Genomic DNA, 23,006 nt, shown 5'->3' with positions numbered 1-23,006 from the left:
AAATATATGTAATATGTTACTTCTTGATAAGATCTATGGAGAAAAAATGTGAAACAGGAAAATAGAGATAAATAAAAGGTAAGTGGAATTGCTGTTTTATAGTATTTGGGCAGTGGAGGTTATAGACCTCAGGAGGTGAAGCAGCAAATATGCAGTTACCCCAGGAGGGTTGCATTCCTGACCCTAGACCAAGCCTGTCCAACCTGTGGTTCACAGGCTACATGTAGCCCGGGATGGCTTTGAATGTGACCCTACACAAATTCTTGAACTTTCTTAAAACATTATGAGGTGTTTTTTTTGCAATTTTTTTCACAATTTTTTTTTTTTTTTTTTTTAGCTCATCAGCTATCATTAGGAATGTTAGTGTATTTTATGTGTGGCCTAAGACAATTCTACTTCAATGTGGCCCATGGAAGCCAAAAGATTGGACACTCCTGCCCTAGACTTTGCATCTTAATCTTTGGGTATTGCTGTGATACACCAAATTAGGGGCAACATCTAGAGGAATAAAGACAATATATTTTTTTCCTATTCGTGGATACATTTATCCTATTCATATTACCCCATGGTGAAGAAGGGCCATTGAACAATATGGATCAAAGCTAAATAAAAGCACCAAATTCACATAGCCTTAGAGAGAATCAAAGAAGAGATATCTAATAGAGGGTAATGAAATTATGTAAGACAATATTGTAAGTTGTCTTCTAGATACTGTGATTAGAGTTAGGAAACTTTATTGAGACCATAGTAACTTATGATAAATGAAGTCACTGGAAATGATTTAGTTTGCATACAAATAGATGGGCTAGTCTGTTCACAATGGGGGTGTTGCTTACTTAGGTATACAAATAAAAGATTTCTCCTTTAAGTCAGAGGTAGACTATCAAGATATTGAAACCTGGATCTACTATGTAGATAAGTTACTTAATTGATTTTGTTCTTATTTTTCTCATTTATATAAAAATTGAATTTATTTTAAGTGATTAGACAGTACTTGTAAAGAATTTAGAACTGTACCTGGCATATTATAAGAGCTAAACAACTATTAAACCAAGTGAATTTTAAACAACCATGGAAAAAAAGATATCTCAGCAATTCCAAAAGCATTGAAAATTATTGTTTATTAAAGAGCTATAGTTAGGAGTATGCAACAGATTCTTTAGTTGAATTTAATAACAAAGATTGATTCAATTATTGATGAAGTTCTATTTTCACTTATGAGAAACTCTGAGAAGTATTTTATGGTATATTTGTTTCCTTTGACTTTTATTTTTTTGAGATGTCACTGAAATCATATTGACTTAAGTACTGTGTGGATGGCATTATGTTTGCAATAAAATAAAATAAGACAGTTTTTATTAACTACATGAGTCATAGTGATAAAAGAGCATGAGTATCCAGCATTTTAATTTCTCATTAGTCATTCACAGAAACATTACTTTTATGAAGTCCTCAAATAAAATAGCTCCTAAAAATAGTTATAACCAAGAAAGGGGACTTGTAAAGTGGAAAAAGTATAAGTTACTTGAGTTACCTCTTCAGTACAAGGTTATCTTGAATATATATTTATAGCTTGAGAAGCAAAGATAATTTGAATTGAATAAATATTGCCACTACTAATTTGAAGTATTAAAAAAAGAAATTAAAATTTAGCATTATTTATCCTTTGCAACATCCTTGCTATAATATCGAAGAAATTTTAATAAAAAAAGAGCCATTACACTGTGGCACAATTTAGCCTCTATTTATGGCCATGGACAGATAGCCTATTCTTTTACTAATTCCACATTGTCTTAAATATTGTGGTTTTACAGTAAGTCTTAAATTCTAGTAGAACTTTGCTCTCCTTCAGTAATAAGTTGGCTACTCTGGGTCTTTTGCCATTCATATTTTTTTTCTTTTTCTCTTTTTCTTTTCCTTTTTCTTTTCTTTTTTTTTTTTTTTTCCTGGAGTATAGTGTTTTTATTTTTGGAGGAGATGAAGTCTCACACACTCTTGCCCTGGATAGTCTCGAACTTCTGTACTAACGCAATCCTCCCACCTTGGCCTCTCAAAGTGCTGGGATTACAGGCATGAGCCACTGCACCTGTCCCAGTTCATTTTTAAATTGTTTACACAAAAAGTGTCAATTCCCAAGGAGGCGGGGAAACCTGAGAGTCATTTAGTTCATTATTAATGAACACACCATATCTACACTTAATAACTCAAAAACAACCCGCCAAAAGAAAAAAAAAACGCTTTAAGTTTTGCTATGGAGAGTCCATTCTGCAAAAACACAAACTGTGCCCGTAAGTAAAGGCTAAATTGTGCCATATTGTGATGGCTCTTTTTTTTTATTAGGCAACTACATCAATAGAACAGAATATTAATCTATAAACTGACCCACATAAACATAGTCAACTCATCTTTGATAAAGGAGCAAAGATAATTCAATGAAGAAAAAATAATCTTTTCAACAAGTGGTGCTGGCACAACTGGGCATCCACATGAAAAACATAATAATCTGGAAACGCTTCACAAAAATGAGCTCAAAATGGAACATAGATCTAAATGTAAAACCAAAAATGTAAAACTTCTGAAATATAACATAAGAGAAAATCTAGATGAGCTGGGGTATGGGAATGACTTTTTAGATATAATATTAGAGGCACAATCTGTAAAATAAATCACTGACAATCTGAACTTAATTAAAATAAAAACTGCTCAGGAAATGAAATGTTAAGAAAATGAAAAGAACAGCCACAGACTGGAAAAAATATTTGCAAAAGACTCATCTGATAAACGACTGTTTTCCAAAAATCTACAAGCAACTTTTAAAACTTAACAAGAACAGGAACAAAGATGTTAATAAATGGACAAAAGACCCAAATAGATGTCTCATCAAAGAAGGAATATGATGGAAAATAAGAATATGAAAAGATCTTCAACATCATATATCATTAGAGTATGGCAAAGTAAAACAACCATCAGATATCATTTTATGCCTATTAGAATGGCCAAAATCCAGAACACAATACCAAATGCTGATGAGGATGCAGAGTAATAGGAACTCTCATTCATTGCTGGTGGAAATGAAAAATGCTATAGAAAGTTTGGAGAATAATTTGTATAATTTGGCAGTTTACAAAATTAGACACAATCTTACCAATACAATCTAGCAATAGCTCTACTTAGTATTTACTCAAATGAGTTAAAAACTATGCTCACACATAAACCTCCATAGGGACATTTATGAACACTTTTTCATAATTGTTGAAACTTGGAGGCAACTAAGATTCCTTTGGTAGCTGAACAAACTGCTACAAATAAACTGGCACACCCAGACAATGGATTATTTTTCAGCACTAAAAAGAAACGAGCTAACAAGCCATGCAGAGATATGGAGGAATCTTTAATGCAAATTACTAAGTGAAATAACGCAATCAGAAAAGGCTACATGCTGTATGATTCAAATGATATGACAATCTAGAAAAGGAAAAACTGTGGAGACAGTAAGAAACTCAGTGGTTTCAGGGGAAAAGAGGAGCCGTGAACAGGCAGAGCAGAGAGGATTTTAGGACAGTGCAACTACTCTGTATGGTTCTACAGCGGTGCATACTCATCATTATACATTTGATGAAAAAAAAACATTGACTATGCAACACCAAGAGTAAACACTAGTGTAAATGATGGACTATGTATGATAATGATGTGTTAATGTAGGTTGATCAACAGTAACAAATTCACTCCTGTTGTGCTGAATGTAGATGATGAAGTTTGTGAATGTGAAGGAGCAAGTCTTATATAGGAATTATCTGTATTTTCCACCCAGTTTTGCTGTGAAACTTAAAGTGTTCTAAAAAAATAAATTATATTTTTTAAAAAAGATCCGATCTCTCATCTGTAATTTCTAAGTCCCAAAGGAAACTGTTGTTTTTATATGAGTAGGAAAATGATGCACTCTCATAATTATATAATGATTTTCTTGTAAAAACTGTCAAATATCAATGAAAGCAATAATCTATGTCTTTCAACTTTTAATAAAATGGATCAACCGCAGCAAGATGGATGAGAAACAAAGAAAAAATATTTAAATATATTGTATTAGAAATATTAAAATGAGACACTTATGCACATATCCTACACAAATCATTTTTATAAAGGCACATTTTGTGGTGGATATACCCTAATGAGCCACACCTTTGAAAAGTCTTCTCCCCTGATGTCAAGTAGAAGCAGTCACTTCTAGCTAGCAGAATAGGGCAAAGGCAAGAGAATGTTGCAAATGTAACCAAAGTCCCAAATCAGTGGATTCTGAGTTAATCAAGAGGAGATTATATTGGATGGGTCCAATTCAAACAGGTTAAAGTTCTTAAAAGAGGGATTGCAGCCCTCCTAAGGTGAAAGATCCTCTATCCTACAGTTGCATTGAAAAAGCAAGCTGCCGTAAGTTATTCATCAATAAGAAAGTGAATTTTGCCACCAACCCAAGAAACCTGAAAGCTTAACTTCCCCCAGTTAGACCTCTTTTGACAATATGCCTCCGCACATACCTTGACCACAGCCTTTGGACACCCTGAGCAGAGGAACCAGGTAAAGCATATACAGACTCCTGGTTGATGGAAGCTGTAAGATAAGAAAATGTGTGATGTTTTAACCTAGTAAGTTTCTGGTAATTTGTTATGCAGCTGCAGCAAACTAATACAATTATTAAGAGTATAAGAGTGATTTATGAATAATAAAAAAAAATTCCAACAAAAAAATAGCCTTTCAAAAACCAAATCTATAGTCTAAACTTTTCCCCTGACAATGTACATGTTCCACATATTATTAAAATCTAATTTTAGGGAAATAGATGGGATAGAGATAGTCTTATTTGTTATATAGAAAACTATGTATTATTTACAAAATAAAAATTTAAAGCTTACACTAGTACAATTTACCCTAGGAATGCAAAATAGGTTAATATTTTTAAGTTATCATTTAAAATCTCCACATTAATTGATTATAGGAAAAAAAAAAGAAAAACTCTCAGTAGATCCAGAAAACGCATCTAAGAAAAACGTACCAAATGTGATAGATTATAGCAGCTTGATAAACTTCTCAAAAATCCAAGCAAAATCATCCTTAAAGAAGGGAAATGCAGTCATTTTCCTACTATACGCAAAGTGCTAGCTTGCCCACTAATGTAACTAATAATCTACAGGATACTGGAAGTCTTACCTGAAGAAATACAACAAAACAATTGAGTAACAGAAAGTAGAAAATGAAAAGAAAATGGTAAAGTTTTAATATAAATCTCATAATGATGCAGAAACTAAAAGAAAATCAATCTTTAAACTAAGATGTATTTAGCAGAGTAATTGTATCAAAATATAAAAGTAGTAGCATTTCAATGAATCAACAATAACAAATAATTAGTATGTTTTAAAATATGAAAGGAAACATTTAATTCGATGAATATATTCATATATTATATGAAGCTACAAAAAGTTTTCAAAACTTAATGGATAAATTTGTTAAATGTTTTTGAATATTAGATTTGACTCTTAAAATTTTAAAACCTGTGATGTCAAAAGCTCAATAATCTTTTGACCATTTATTAATCAAATTATTAGATTTTTTTAATATTGAGTAATTTTAGCTTCCTTTGTATTCTGGGTATTAATCCCTTGTCAGATGAATAGTCTGCAAATATTTTCTCCCATTCTGTTTGTTGTCTGTTAACTTTGTTGATTATTTCCTTTGCTGTGTAGCTTTTTAACTTGATGTGATCTCATTTGTCCATTTTTGTATTTCCTGTGCTTGTGGAATATTATTTGAAAAATATTTGCCCACTCTAATACCTTGGAGAGTTTCCCTAAAGTTTTCTTTTAGTAATTTTATAGTTTGAGGTTTTAGATTTAAGTCTTATTCCATTTTTATTTGGTTTTTGTATATGGCGAGAGAAAGGGGTCTAGTTTCATCAATATACATTTCTCAAAAGAAGACATGCAAATGGCAAACAGTGTATGAAAAGGTGCTCAACATCACTGATCATCAGAGAAACGCAAATCAAAACTACGATGAGGCTGGATGTGCTGGCCCACACTTGTAATCCCAGCACTTTGGGAGACTGAAGCAGGTGGATTGCTTGAGCTCAACAGTTCAAGACCAGTCTGAGCAACATGGTGAAACCCTGTCTCTACAAAAAAAAAAAAAAAACAATAATTAGTGGGGCATGATGGTGTGCACCTGTAGTCCCAGATACTTGTGGGGCTGAAGTGGGAGAATCATCTGAACCCAGGAAATCAAGGCTGCAAGGGAGCCCATGATTGTTCCACTATGCTCCAACCTGCCCTACAGAGTGAAACCCTGTCTCAAAACAAAGAAATAAACAAAAACCAAAACTCCAATGAGATATCATCTTATTCCAGTTAAAATGGCTTTTACTCGAAAGACAGGCATTTACAAATGCTGGTGAGGATATGGAGAAAAAGAAACCCTCATACACTGTTGATGAGAATGTAAGTTAGTACAACCACTGTGAAGAAGAATGTGGTGGTTCATCAAAAAAATAAAAATATAACTACCATATGATGTAGAATCCCACTGCTAAGTATATGTCCCAAGGGAAGAAAATCAGTATATCAAACAGATATCTTCATTTCCATGTTTACCGCAGCACCATTCACAATAGCTAAGATTTGGAGGCAAGCTAAGTGTCCATCAACAGATGAATAGATAAAGAAAATGTGATCGTACACACAATGGAGTACTATTCAGCCATAATAATAAAAAGATGAGATCCTGTCATGTGCAACAACACGGATGGAACTGCAAATTATGTTAAGTGGAATAAGCCAGTCACAGAAAGACAAACTTCACATGTTCTTACCTATTTGTAGGAGCTAAAATTTAAAACAATTGAACTCGTGGAGTCAGAGAGTAGAATGATGGTTACCAGAGGCTGGGGAAGAGTAGCGAAGGGTAGAGGAGAGCTGCACGAGAGTGGGAACAGTAAATGGGTACAAAAATATAGTTAGATAGAATGAATGAGATCTAGATTTGATAGCATAACAAGGTAACTACAGTCAACAATAATTTATTGTGCATTCTAAAATAAAAGAGTATAATTAGAGTTTTTTGTAACACAAAGAAAAAATAAATGCTCGAGGCAATGGATACCCCATTTACCCTGCGGTGATTATTATCTATTTTATACCGGTATCAAAATATGGCATGCACTACATAAATATATGCACCTACTATGTACCCACAACAATTAAAAATGAACCAGAATAATAATTAATGTTAAAAAAATTTTTAAAAACTGGAAACAGATATTTACATATAACAAATGACGGCTGGGGGCGGTGGCTCATGCCTGTAATCCCAGCACTTTGGGAGGCCAAGGCGGGTGGATCACCTGAAGTCGGGAGTTGGAGATCACCCTGACCGACATGGAGAAACCCCGTCTCTATTAAAAATACAAAATTAGCCCGGTGTGCTGGTGCACACCTGTAATCCCAGCTACTCGGGAGGCTGAGGCAGGAGAATCGCTTGATAAAATGGTAAAATTGGTAAAATTTGAAGTGCTCATTTCCTACCCCTATCAAGTATTCTATAAGGAGGCACAAATTCAATGTGGCATTGTTTGAAAAATCAAATTTGGAAAGAATCTGGTTAGAAATGGAGAATGGAGGCCGGGTGCAGTGGATCATGCCTGTAATACCAGCACTTTGGGAAGCCAAGGTGGATGGATCACCTGAGGTCAGGAGTTTGAGACCAGCCCGGCCAATGTGGCGAAACCCCTTCTCTACTAAAAATAGAAAAATTAGCCAGGTGTGGTGGCGGGAGCCTGTAATTCCAGCTACTGAGGAGGCTGAGGAAGGGAGAATTGCTTGAATCTGGGAGGCAGAGCTTGCAGTGAGCCTAGATTGGACCACCGTACTCCAGCCTGGGCAACAGAGCAAGGCTCTGTCTCAGAAAAAAAAAAAAAAAAAAGAAAAGAAGGAAAGAGAAAGAAAGGAAGGAAGGAAGGAAGGAAGGAAGGAAGGAAGGAAGGAAGGAAGGGAGAATGGAGTAGGAAATAGGACATAAATGGTAAGCCTATATTAATGTGTGTATATTATTCTGCCTTTATACTTTTCTGGATAATTATCTTACCCCCAATATACTTTCATCATATAATTTACCTGAATGATAATAATAAAATCCTTGCAATGAATTTAAGCAGCCACATATATTAGTGATACTCTGAAAAAAATGTATCTGCAAATGGAAGATTAAATGACTTTATGAAAGCTCAAGTCTCAAGATTTTCATTATAGAAATGAAACACAATTTTTCTTTCAAATAAAAAACTCGCATTCAAGTTTGAGGAAATAAGCATATGTTATTAGAATGTAAAGCATAGCAAGTGATAAGTGAGAATACTATGAAAACATGACAGAAGAAAATATGTTAGATTTGCTCAGGAAGAATAAAGGGGATAAAGCTTAAGCTGAATTTTAAAAGGTAACAATAAGATATTACTCAAGATAGGCGATTAGAATGAGAAGAACAAATTTCTAAAAGAAAACCTGCAGGAAAACCTAATTTTGAGGAGCACAAGGATAGACATAGATATGCCAAAGAACTATAATTTATTGTCCCTTTGTCATGTGCCTGGCCATGTACTAGGCACTTTACATGTATTTCTTTCCTACAAAAGTCTTGTAAGTATATATTAGAAGATAAAAGTATTAAAGAATTAGAGAATTTGAAAGGGTTAAATAAGAAACTCCTTATAGACACAAATATAAGCCTTTCCTGACTCCAAAACTCCTGTTATAAAAACTAATGTCAAAAAACACTATGAGTGGCTTCATACAAGGCAATAAACAAAAACTTCCAAAAGGATTACAGATACAATACAGAATTGAAATGAAAATTATACAATAGAGTGCAAATTAGAGAGTGGCAGGTAGCATTTATAGTGTCACTGAAATAGGATAGAGGAAGTCAGTATGTGTTCAGTTGCAGAATGATTGGGGAGTGAAGAGCCAAGGTTACTAGGTATACTATTTTAAATGACTGCACTGTGAATGAAAGCAAATGACAGAATGTTTACTAAAAAAATTTTACATGCATTTTTAATCTGAGAAAATTTTATGGATTTTGAAAACTATTTTGTGGTCTATCAACATGGTACTGGAAGTCATCGTGTGATAATAAAAGACATTTTTAAAAAGACAGTGGCATTAGGATTGGAAGGCAATAAATAAAACTGCTCCTTCTACATATAGCATATATAGGATTTTTCAAAATTATAGATACATAATAATTAGTAAGGAAATTTAGCAAGGGCAAAAATTCAATGTAATTCTCACTATAAGGAAAAACATAGAAAATAGAAGATAAAAATGAAATGTTTCCAATAGCATTAGAAAGATAAAATACATAGTAACATATCTAACAGAAGACGAGCAATAACCTTCCAATACGAACTACAAAATGTAAAAACTGTCAGTTAAAGACTCTCTAAACAAGTACACTATTCAAGGTTCAAGGTTGGGAAAAGTCAGTATTGTGAACATGTAATCTCTCCTAATTAATATATTGATTTGATGCAACTCCAACAAAAATCCCAGCAGGTTTCTTGGCAAAACTTGATAAGTTGTTTTTGAAACTTATATGAAAAATAGAGCCAATAATAGTTTGAGAAATCTTGCAGAAGTATTAAAGAAGCTGAAGAACTTTTATTTTCAGATATAATTATAAAATATACATATATAATAAATATGATAATATACAATTAACTCAGAAATAGACACCTAGACAAGAAGAATATGATAAAATGCCAGAAAAAGGCTTATGGAGTCTTTTATGTGACTTACGGAGTCACATAAAAATGTGATATATATTGAAATGGGGAAGAATTTATTTTTGATACTGAGCCAATTAAATACCAAAAATATAAATCGTGACTCTTACATCATTGTATTTACAAAACTCAATTCTCAGTGCATTGTAGACTTAAATATAAAAGACAAATACTATTTTCTAGAAGAAAATATATTTCGATCTTTATGATCTAGGAGTGAGCAAATATTTTTTAGGCAGGACAAAAATATATAAGCCATGTAGTAAAATATGAACGTTTAACCTACATTAATCTTAATGACTTTTATTCATCAAAAGGCACCATTAAAAGAATGAATAGACAAATCACAGACTAATTTACAGTTTATATTACTGACAAATAACTCATATCCAGAATATATACAATATTCTTACAAATCAATAAACGACAGTCCACCAGTTTGCTACAACTGCAACAAATAACCACAGAGTGGCTTAAACAACAGAAATGTATTGTCTCACAGTTTTGGAGGTTAGAAATCCAAGATCAATGTGTCACAAGGTTGTTCCTTCTAAAGGCTATGAGGAAAAAAATCAGTTTCATGTCTTTTTCCTAGCTACCGGTGGTGGGCTGGCAATGTTTGGCATTTGTTGACTTCTGCTAAGGCATCTCAATGTCTTCTTTAATCTTCACATGGTATTCTCGCTATGTGTCTGTGTATCAGAAATTAAATTTTCCCTTTCAATAAAAGCATCAAGTATATTATATTAGAGCCCACCCTACTTCAGTATGACCTCATTTTACCTAACTACATCTGCAATGACCTTACTTTCAAAGAAAGTCACTTTCTGAGGTTCTGGGTGCTAGGAACTCAACACATGAATTTTTGAGGAACACAATTCAACCCATAACAGTCAGACAATTCAAGAGATCAAAAATGCAAACACTGGAAAAGATGCCTACAAAGTGGATCAGCTAAAACACAGGAAAACATGCTCTACCTCATTAGTCAACAGAGACCTTCAAGATAAAATCACGATTAAATTTTAGTACACAAACACTAGAATAAATAAAATAAAAAAGACAATAGCCAATGTTGTTAGACAATAGCCAAAAAACCCTGAAAACTACACATTTGTAGTAGATCACAAACACACACCCACACTATTTTTGTATTTTCATATAATAAAATATTTCATAACAATGATGAAAATTAATATTGACTGGATATCTCACTAAATAAAAAATGCCAGATGCAAAATAATCTATACAGTAAAATTCCATCTTGCACACTATACACAAATATACAAAGTATTTAGTGTTGAACATCAGAAAGATTATCAACTTGGAGAATTTTAGTGACTTGGAGGGAAGCTGAGGGTAGCTTCTGGGGGCTAGTGATGCTTTATTTCTTGATATAGCTGATGGCTATAAGGATAATTCATTTAATGAAAATCCATCAATTTGTACATTTGCAATAACTTCTTTAAAGTTTTTGTATGTATATCCTCCTTCAATTAAAATTACATAAAATATTGGAAAGTTATTTTACCATAGTGCTCAATATCACTTGCAAGAGTCTCTCCAGATAAAGTACGTCTATATATTCAGTTTCAGGATAAGTCTGTTTGAAATGAATAGATCATGTTTTTAATAAGAATATGAAAAAGTATGTGAAATAAAATGTTTTTTAAAAAGTTATTTCAGTGCTTTAAATGCAATAAACTTCGCAATTAAAAATTATACAATTTTGCATATGGTCTTACTTGATTTTGCTTATCTTAGTGTGTCCAGCATGGTGTATTTGCAAGTTGTTCAAATCCTTTAGAAAAAAAAAACACAAACACAACTATAAATCACTGGAGTCACACTGACATATCCATAAATATATTTTATTTATTTTCATAACCATCAGTATCATCAGTATAAGTAATATTATAATATATAGCAAATTTTAAAATATAGTAATATTTCAGTAAGTATAATTCTGGAACTAAGTGAAACCTCACCTTAAAAGTTTACTTATTTATTTATTTAAATAAAGTTCAGTTTTGCATAATTATTTGAATGAGGGTTCCAATATACTGATTACATAGCATATAATAAATTCCTACATGCAAGGCATATAATCATTTCCAGCATTATTAAAAGTTTTTAGATTTAATCAAAATTTGCTTCTATATTGGGCAGTAGAAAATACATTCAGGCCTGGTTGTGCCTTAAAATATTTGCAAATAAGACTTGAAATCATATTTGGGTCAAAACTATCATCACTATGAATAATAGAAAAAAAAACCTTAAAGACAGCAATCATAAATACTTGGAAAAAAATGATATTTTGCTTCTTTCATAGATCATGACTAACAATAATTTTTTTTTATATTTTCATGATGAACCTGCTTGTGATTTCAGATGTTTTCTTAAAAAATATTTTAAAAAATAAATATCAGTTATTCAGTTGACATTAAAATAAAATCATTATTAATTCAAACTTAAGGATGTCAGCAATGTGGCAAAGAAAAAACCTTGACCCCCATTGCTCCAACAGAACTTTCAACTAGCGACTATCTACAGACAGAACATCCTTTTGAAAACCTCAGCATCTGGAAACAAGCCTGAGACACCTGTGTGGTGTGCAGAAGTAAACAAAATCTAAATTTGATGGCTAAGAGGAATGGTCTCACTCTGACTGCACCCCCACCTCCCCTTCTACCAAAGTAGCATAGCACCAGATAAAGATTTTCCTGGACTCACAGTTTCTATGAGGGGAAAAACGAACTTGAAACAGTTATCTGACTTCACTACCATTCTAAAAAACTTCTCAGGAAGTCCACTGTGGTCTCACTTAATGAGGAATACTAAGAGAAATGGCATGGCTTGACCACCCAGGAGTAAAACAAAGCAAATGACAAGGATTTTGGTGTTACCACTGCATCCTGCAAGCTGTAGCACTTGGTCAGAGGCATCAATCAACCTCTTAGCTCACTCACAGAGCTAAGCTTGTCACCTTTAAAAGCACAGTAGGAAACACAATCTAGCTCACATACAGTGAGCCCTTAGACAGCTAGTCTCCCCAGCCAACTCCAGAACCAACAACAAACCTGTCCAATCAGGAAGACTCATGTCTTCACAGATCTCAGAGATGTGAAGGAGCTACACATGCTTGATGTGGGAAGGTAATCAGAGGTGCCACATGGCCAAAAAGCCTGGCCAATGACCCCGCCCAGGCAGACAGATTCCCATCTTTGCAGATTTTAGAGAAGCAAAGAAGCCAGACTGGCTCGAGCCAGGAAGGCAAGTAGGGACGACAAATAGCCCACAAAACAATCCCAACCAGGCAGAGAGACTCCCATTTCTGTACATTTTGAAGAAACTTAGAGGCCAGTCCTGCTTGATCTGGGAAGTCAAACAGCCACTGAACTAAGCCAAAAGCCCACTCCACAGCTCCACCCAGACAAGGAGGCAATCTCAAATTGTGTGTTTCTAAGGAGCACAGCCTAAGCTCCTGCCTGTTCAGAGTAGTGACTCCACCTAATCTTAGAGTCCAACTTTCAGCCCTGCTCAAGTGCAGATTTCAAATAGCAAAACTGCCCATCCAGGGAATATATATGTTGCCGGGTCTAACCAGAAGCCATTGAAGTATGAGCCAGCATACCACCTAACAGCAGAGTCCAACCAATGGTCTCACTGGTCAGCAGAACCCAGTTAGTAACCCCATTCAATATCAAAGCAAAGGCAGTGACCCAGCCAACTGGATAACTTATAACATACTCTGCCTCTCCAGGATCATCACCAGCTGAACCTTCCAGGACCACAGCCTAGACTAAATAGCTCTATGTCTGCTAATATATCTGTGCAGGACCAAAAAGGGACTTGTCACCTCACATATGAAGGTCACAACATAAGAATACAAAGATTATGGAAAATCAGGGAAGTATAATTTCTCAAAAAGAAATAAATAAAGCTCAAATAATGAATCCCAAATAAATAGAGATCTATGCAAAGACTGATCAATAATACAGAATAATATTCATAAGGAAGTTCAGTAAAATTTAAAAATATACAGATGGAAAATTTAATGAAGTTTGGAAACCAGTATTTGAAAAAAATGAGAAGATCAGTAGAAATCCTAGAAATGAATAATACAATGACTGCAATAAAAAATGTAATAGAAAATTTTAACAGAAGAACTTATCAAGTAGAAAGAAAGAATCAGTAAGCAGAAAGGCAAATTTTAAAGTATCCAGTCAGAGGATAAAAAGACAAAAGAATAAATAAGAATGAAGAAAATCTATGGGAATTATAGGACACATGTAAGAGATTGAATGTTTTTATAATAGAATCAACAGAAGAAGACAAAGGAAAAGGTCCAGTAAGCACATTTAAAGGAATAATGGCTGAAAACTGCATTAACCTGTGATAGATACCAACACACATATATGGGATGCATAGAGGTCTCCAAGAAAATTAAACCCTGAGAGAAATACAACAAAACATAAAATAATCAAATTATCAAAAAAAAAAGAGACAAAGAAAAAATTCTGAAAGCAGCCAAGAGGTAAGAAACACATCATATACAAAAGAGTGCCAATATAACTATCAGTGGATTTCTTAGCAGAAACCTTACCAGCCAGGAGGTTGGTGGGTTGATATATTCAAAGTGCTAAAGGAAAAAAGCAACCAAACTGCCAGCCAAGAATACTGTAGTCAGCAAATCCATCCTTCAGATGTGAAGGAGATATAAACATTTTTCCAGACAAACAAAAGCTGAGGGAGTTTTATTTGTTTTTTAACTCCAAATCTGTCTTATAAACAATGGTAAAGGAAGTTCTTCAAGCTGAAAGAAAAGGATGCTAATGAGTCACACATACACACACACACACACACAAATATTTTGAAAGTATAAAATTCACTGATAAAAATAGGTGCAGAGTCAAATAAAGAATACTCTAATACTGCAATGATTGTGTATGAATCATTTATATCTCTAATATAAAGATTAAAATACAAAAATATTAGAAATAGTAAAAATTAAAATAATTTAAGAAATATGCAACATTAAAATATGCAAATTGTGACATAAAAATTCAAAATATTGGAGGCAGTGAGGTCAAATTGTAGAGTCCTTTTCTTAAAACATTAAGGTCAGAGTTAATAACATCTCATATATATAACAAGTTATTTTAAGCTGTTATATCTATGAGATGTTATTTGTTAGCTTCATGTTATCCACAAAGCAAAAACCTTTAATAGGTACATTAAGAATAAAAATTAAAAAATCAAAACACACTACTAGAGAAAATTATTTAACCACACAAGAGGACAGGTAAAAAGAAAGAATCTATAAAACAATTTGAAAATTTTTAAAATGGCAGTAATACATCTGTACCTATCAATAATCATCTTGCATATTAATGGATTAAACTGTACTATTAAGAGGAATAAAACCCAGTGTTTTGCATGTCCCTGTAGTCACAAATACTCAGGAAGCTGAAGTGGGAGGATTGCTTGAGGCCAGGGGTACAAAGCTGTAGTGTGAAGTGATTGTGCCTGTGAATAGCCACTGCCCTCCAGCCTAACACAGAAGGAACCCATCCCTAAAATGATAAACCAATGAAGATCATGAAAAAATAAAAATAAAAAGAGTGGATCAATGGATTTTTAAAAGACCCAATGATATGCTGCCTACAAGACACAAATAGACTAAAAGTGAAGGGATAGAAAGAAATATTTCATACAAATGGAAGCCACAACACAGTGAGAGTAGCTGTACTTATATCAGGTAAAATAGACTTTGGATTTTACAAAAGAAGCAGAAATGAAGTTCATGACATAATGATAAAGAGGTCAAATCAGCAAGAGAGTATAACAATTGTAAATATATATGCACCTATCATTGGAGCACCTAAATATATAAAGAAAATATTCATAGAGCTAAAGAGAGAAATTGACTATGATACTAAAATAGTAGGGAATTTCAACATCTCACTTACAACAATGGACAGATTATCCAGTAAAATAAATTATAAAAATAACATCAGATTTAAACTACACTCTAGATGAAATGGGCCTAACAGACATTTGCAGAACATTCCAACTAAAAGGTACAAAATATACATCCTTCTCTGTTGCACATAGAACATAGATCAAATATAGATATATATTTGACCACGAGACAATATATTTGATCATATATTTGACCATATATTTGACCATGAGACAAAATGAAATTTAAGAAGATTAAAATTACATCAAGTATCTCTACTGAGCACAATGGTATAAAACTAAAAATCAATAACAGAGGAAATACAGAAACTTTACAAATATGTAGAAATTAAACAAAATGTTCCCAAACAACCAATGGGTAAAGACATTAAAAGGAAAATTTAAAAATGTTTAAGACAAATGAAAGTGGAAATGAAACATATCAAAACCTATAGAACACAGTTAAACACATTTCTAAGAGGGAAGTTTCTTGCAATAAAAACTTACATCAGAAGGAAAACAGATCACAAATAAACTACCTAACATAGCACCTCAAAGAACTAAATAAAAACACACTAAACCCCAAATTATTAGAAGAAAATAAATGATATTCAAGAGGAAACAAATTGAGACAAAAAACTAAACACAAAATATAGATAAAATAAACAGTTGCTTTTTTAAAAGATAAACAATATTCAAAAACTTTGGTGACTCTGAGGAAAAGTGAAAGACAACTTAAATAAATAAAATCAGAGATAAAAAGTAAGACATTAGAATTGATATTATATCAGGATGATGCTGGCCTCATAAAATGAGTTAGGGAGGAGTCCCTCTTTTTCTATTGATTGGAATAGTTTCAGAAGGAATGGTACGAGCTCCTCCTTGTACCTCTGGTAGAATTCGGCTGTGAATCCATCTGGTCCTGGACTTTTTTTGGTTGGTAAGCTATTGATTATTGCCACAATTTCAGAGCCTGTTATTGGTCTATTCAGAGATTCAACTTCTTCCTGGTTTAGTCTTGGGAGGGTGTATGTGTTGAGGAATTTATCCATTTCTTCTAGATTTTCTAGTTTATTTGCATAGAGGTGTTTGTAGTATTCTCTGACGGTAGTTTGTATTTCTGTGGGATTGGTGGTGATATCCCCTTTATCATTTTTTATTGCATCTATTTGATTCTTCTCTCTTTTCTTCTTTATTAGTCTTGCTAGTGGTCTATCAATTTTGTTGATCTTTTCAAAAAACCAGCTCCTGGATTCATTAACTTTTTGAAAGGTTTTTTGTGTCTCTATTTCCTTCAGTTCTGCTCTGATTTTAGTTATTTCTTGCCTTCTGCTAGCTTTTGAATGTGTTTGCAGAGACACAACCAAAAGAGAGAATTTTAGACCAATATCCTTGATGAACATTGATGCAAAAATCCTCAGTAAAATACTGGCAAACCGAATCTAGCAGCACATCAAAAAGCTTATCCACCATGATCAAGTGGGCTTCATCCCTGGGATGCAAGGCTGGTTCAACATTCGCAAATCAATAAATGTAATCCAGCATATAAACAGAACCAAAGCCAAAAACCCCATGATTATCCCAATAGATGCAGAAAAGGCCTTTGACAAAATTCAACAACTCTTCATGCTAAAAACTCTCAATAAATTAGGTATTGATGGGATGTATCTCAAAATAATAAGAGCTATTTATGACAAACCCATAGCCAATATCATACTGAATGGGCAAAAACTGGAAGCATTCCCTTTGAAAACTGGCACAAGACAGGGATGCCCTCTCTCACCGCTCCTATTCAACAGTGTTGGAAGTTCTGGCCAGGGCAATTAGGCAGGAGAAGGAAATAAAGGGTATTCAATTAGGAAAAGAGGAAGTCAAATTGTCCCTGTTTGCAGATGACATGATTGTTTATCTAGAAAACCCCATTGTCTCAGCCCAAAATCTCCTTAAGCTGATAAGCAACTTCAGCAAAGTCTCAGGATACAAAGTCAATGTACAAAAATCACAAGCATTCTTATACACCAATAACAGACAAACAGAGAGCCAAATCATGAGTGAACTCCCATTCACAATTGCTTCAAAGAGAATAAAATACCTAGGAATCCAACTTACAAGGGATGTGAAGGACCTCTTCAAGGAGAACTACAAACCACTGCTCAATGAAATTAAAGAGGATACAAACAAATGGAAGAACACTCCATGCTCATGGGCAGGAAGAATCAATATCATGAACATGGCCATACTGCCCAAGGTAATTTATAGATTCAATGCCATCCCCATCAAGCTACCAATGACTTTCTTCACAGAATTGGAAAAAACTACTTTAAAGTTCATATGGAACCAAAAAAGAGCCCGCATCACCAAGTCAATCCTAAGCCAAAAGAACAAAGCTGGAGGCATCACGCTACCTGACTTCAAACTATACTACAAGGCTACTGTAACCAAAACAGCATGGTACTGGTACCAAAACAGAGATATAGATCAATGGAACAGAACAGAGCCCTCAGAAATAATGCCACATATCTACAACCATCTGATCTTTGACAAACCTGACAAAAACAAGAAATGGGGAAAGGATTCCCTGTTTAATAAATGGTGCTGGGAAAACTGGCTAGCCATATGTAGAAAGCTGAAACTGAATCCCTTCCTTACACCTTATACAAAAATTAATTCAAGATGGATTAAAGACTTAAACGTTAGACCTAAAACCATAAAAACCCTAGAAGAAAACCTAGGCAATACCATTCAGGACATAGGCATGGGCAAGGACTTCATGTCTAAAACACCAAAAGCAATGGCAACAAAAGACAAAATTGACAAATGGGATCTAATTAAACTAAAGAGCTTCTGCACAGCAAAAGAAACTACCATCAGAGTAAACAGGCAACCTACAAAATGGGAGAAAATTTTCGAAACCTACTCATCTGACAAAGGGCTAATATCCAGAATCTACAATGAACTCAAACAAATTTACAAGAAAAAAACAAACAACTCCATCAAAAAGTGGGCGAAGGATATGAACAGACACTTCTCAAAAGAAGACATTTATGCAGCCAAAAGACACATGAAAAAATGCTCATCATCACTGGCCATCAGAGAAATGCAAATCAAAACCACAATGAGATACCATCTCACACCAGTTAGAATGGCGATCATTAAAAAGTCAGGAAACAACAGGTGCTGGAGAGGATGTGGAGAAATAGGAACACTTTTACACTGTTGGTGGGACTGTAAACTAGTTCAACCATTGTGGAAGTCAGTGTGGCGATTCCTCAGGGATCTAGAACTAGAAATACCATTTGACCCAGCCATCCCATTACTGGGTATATACCCAAAGGATTATAACTCATGCTGCTATAAAGACACATGCACACGTATGTTTATTGTGGCACTATTCACAATAGCAAAGACTTGGAACCAACCCAAATGTCCAACAATGATAGACTGGATTAAGAAAATGTGGCACATATACACCATGGAATACTATGCAGCCATAAAAAATGATGAGTTCATGTCCTTTGTAGGGACATGGATGAAACTGGAAACCATCATTCTTAACAAACTATCGCAAGGACAAAAAACCAATCACTGCATGTTCTCACTCATAGGTGGGAATTGAACAATGAGTACACATGGACACAGGAAGGGGAACATCACACTTTGGGGACTGTTGTGAGGTGGGGGGAGGGGAGAGGGATAGTATTAGGAGATATACCTAATGTTAAATGACGAGTTAATGGGTGCAGCACACAAACATGGCACATGTATACATATGTAACAAACCTGCACATTGTGCACATGTACCCTAAAACTTAAAGTGTAATAATAATAAAATTTAAAAAAAGAATTGATATTATAAAAATACAAAAAATTACCAATATATAGGATAATGCTAGCAGAAACAGATAAATATCTGGACACATGCAACCTATCAATATTGTATCTTGAAACAATAGAAAATCTGAACACAGCTAATAATGAGCACTAAGATGTGAATAAGTAATAAAAAGTTTCCTTTAAAAAAAATTACCTCACTGCTGGATTCTATAAAACATTTAATGAAAACATAATACCAATTCTTATGAAGCTATTTCAACATATAAAAGGAGAAGAAATACTCTTAAACTCATCTACTGAGCCACCATTACCCTGACACCAAAATCAGTCAAGGACACAAACACACAAACATACACACACATGCACATGCACTCACACCAAACTAAACCAAAACAACCGCCTACAAGCCAATCAATATTCCAAATGAACATGCATGCAAAAATCCTCAAGGAAATACTAGCAAAACAAATTCAACAGCCTATTAATATTAAAAAGATCATTCAACATGATCAAGTGGGCCTCATCCTAGGAATGCAAGAATGGTTGAACATAAAATATGAAGATCAATAAACATGATACATCATATCAACAAATGAAGGACAAGAATCATATTACAATTTCAATAGATTCAGAAAAAGGATTTGACAAAATTCAACATCCCTTTATAATAAAATTCTCAAAAAGTTAAGTATAGAAGAAAAGTACCTCAATCTATCAAAGGCCATATATGATGAACTCAGGGGTAATATAATAGTTGAAAGCTTGCCCTCTAAAATCTGGAACAAGACAAGGATGGCCACTCTTGCCACTTGTAGTCAACATGGTATTGGAAGACTTAGCCAGAGTAATCAGACAAGAGAAAGAAATAAAGGGAATCCAAATTGGAAAGGAAGAGGTTGAATTGTCTGCATAGGTGGCATGTTCTTATATATATAGAAAACCCTAAAGATTCCACCAAAAAACTGTTAGAACTAATTCACAAATTCAATATAGATGCAGGATACAAAATCAACATACAAAAATCAGTAGTGTTTCTGTACAGTAGTAGCAAACTATATGAAAAAGAACTCAAGAAAATAATTCCATTTACAACAGCTACAAATAAAATAAAATACTTAGGAATAAAATTAGCCACAGAGGTAAAAGATGTGTAAAATAAAAGCAAAAAAAGTGATAAAAGAAAATAAAGAAGATACAAATAAATAGATATTCCATGCTCATTGATTGAAAGAAATGATATTGTTACAATATCCACAGTACCCAAAATGATATACATTCAATGGGATCTTTATCAAAATATCAATGACATTCTCCACAGACACAGAGAAAGATACTCCTAAAATTCATATGGAGCCACAAAGGACTCTCAATAGCCAAGGTAACCTTTACCAAAAAGATCAAAGTTGAAGTCATGACATTTTCTGTCTTCAAAATATATTATCAAGATAGAGTAACTAAAACAGCATGGTGCTGGCATCAAAATAGACACATAGACCAAAGGAACAGAATAGAGAACACAGAAGAATTCCATACACTTACAGTGAACTTACTATGGACAATGGTGCTAAAAATGCAAAGTGGAGAAAGGTACTCTAATCAGTAAATGGTTCAGGGAAAACTGGAGGTCCACATGCAGTGAAGAATGAAGATAAACCCCTAGGTCTCACCATAAACAAAAATCAACTAAAAATTATTAAAGTATTAAATGTGAGATCCTAAATGGTAATATTACTATAAGAAAACATAAAAGAAACACTTTATGACACTGGTCTGCACAAGAATTTTTTGGATAAGACCCCAAAAGCACAGGCAACAAAAGAAAACATAGACAAATGAGATTACATCAAGCCAAAAAGCTACTGCCACAGCAAAGTAAACAATTAAGAAAATGAAGAGACAACCTACAGAATGCAGAAAAAATGGCAAGCTATTCAGCTGATAAGGTTTTAATATCCAGAATATATAAGAAATTCATAAATAATTCAATAGCAATATTTTTAAAACAATCAAAAGATCTGAGTAGACATTGCTTAAAAGAAGACAAGCAAATGGTCAATAGATATATCTTAAAATGCTCAACATCACTAATCATTAGAAAAATGCAAATCAAAACCATGAGATATCACCTCACCCCAATTAGAGTAGCAATTATCAAAATAAATAAATACTCGTGTGGATGTGAAATCAGAGAAATTCATACATTGTTAGTGAGAATGAAAATTAGTACTATTATGGAAAGCAGTATGCAGGCTCCTCAAAAAATCAAAAAGAGAAGTCCCATATGATCCAGTAATCCCACTACAGGGCACATAGCCAAAATAAATAAAGTCAGTCATGTTGACTGCAATACTATTAACAAAAACCATCACAGAGAATCAACTTAATTGTTCATCAACGGATAAATTAATAAAGAACTTGTGGTATATATACCCAATGGAATACTATTAATCCATGAAAAAGAATAAAATCCTGTCATTTGCAGGAACATGAGAGAATCTGAAAGGCATTATGTTAATTGAAATAATACAGGCGCAGAAAGACAAATACTACATGATTTCACTAATATGTGAAATCTAAAATAGTTGAACTCTAATTCTCTTAGAAGTAGAGAGCTAAATTGAGGTAACCAGAGCTATGGGTGTTGGGCATTCAGGAGATGTAGGTCAAAGTATATTAAATTTCAGTTATATAGGAGTAAGTTCTGGTGTTTTATTACACAGTGGAGTGACTATGGTTAACTCTATATATTTCAAAATAGTTAGAACAGGGAATATTGAATGCTCTTACCACACAGAAATGATAAATGTATGAGGTGATGGATATGCTAAATAGCCTGATTTCATTGTTACCTAATTTATACATGTATCAAAACATTACACTGTACCAAATAAATATGTCCAATTATGTCAATTAAAAATAGAATAAAAACAAACAAGAGAAAATTACTGAACAGTCAATCTTTTAAAAGTTTCATTTCAATTACATTAGTAAAATATAATATTATATATACACATGCTTTTGTTTTTGTAGTTTAAATCTTTTGTTATATAAAAATGAATGTAATAAAATATTTCATAATGAAGAAAAAAATTATGTACCCAGAGTTTCCCAATTTATTGTTCTATTCCAGATTAGGTTACAAATAGAATTAAAATTATAATATACAAAAATATTAATATATATGTATACAGACATGCAAATATGTATTTGTGCTATATGTATATTTTATATATAAATATAAGTGTATATATACATGTGTGAGTGTATATTTGTTTATATACATGTGTACATAAATACATATATATACACATAAATACATATGTATGTATACATAAATATATATATGTATACATAAATACATATATATATGTCTTTTCTTAAG

General features: G+C 33.3%; 1 long non-coding RNA gene across 1 annotated transcript in view; it reads right to left on the bottom strand.

The window, feature by feature from the left end:
- The window catches only part of LOC105372745 (uncharacterized), a 122,882-nt gene that overhangs the window by 44,365 nt on the left and 55,511 nt on the right, over positions 1 to 23,006 (bottom strand). Inside the window, exons 2-3 of the long non-coding RNA XR_937603.2 lie at positions 11,572 to 11,627; positions 4,533 to 4,605 (exon numbers count right to left, since the gene is read on the bottom strand). This is a non-coding gene — a long non-coding RNA (uncharacterized LOC105372745). The remainder of the gene's footprint in view (positions 1 to 4,532; positions 4,606 to 11,571; positions 11,628 to 23,006) is intronic.

The sequence above is a fragment of the Homo sapiens genome, chromosome 21 (assembly GCF_000001405.40).
Source record: "Homo sapiens chromosome 21, GRCh38.p14 Primary Assembly".
Lineage (NCBI taxonomy): Eukaryota > Metazoa > Chordata > Mammalia > Primates > Hominidae > Homo > Homo sapiens.
This window is presented reverse-complemented; position numbering and strand designations above follow the sequence as displayed.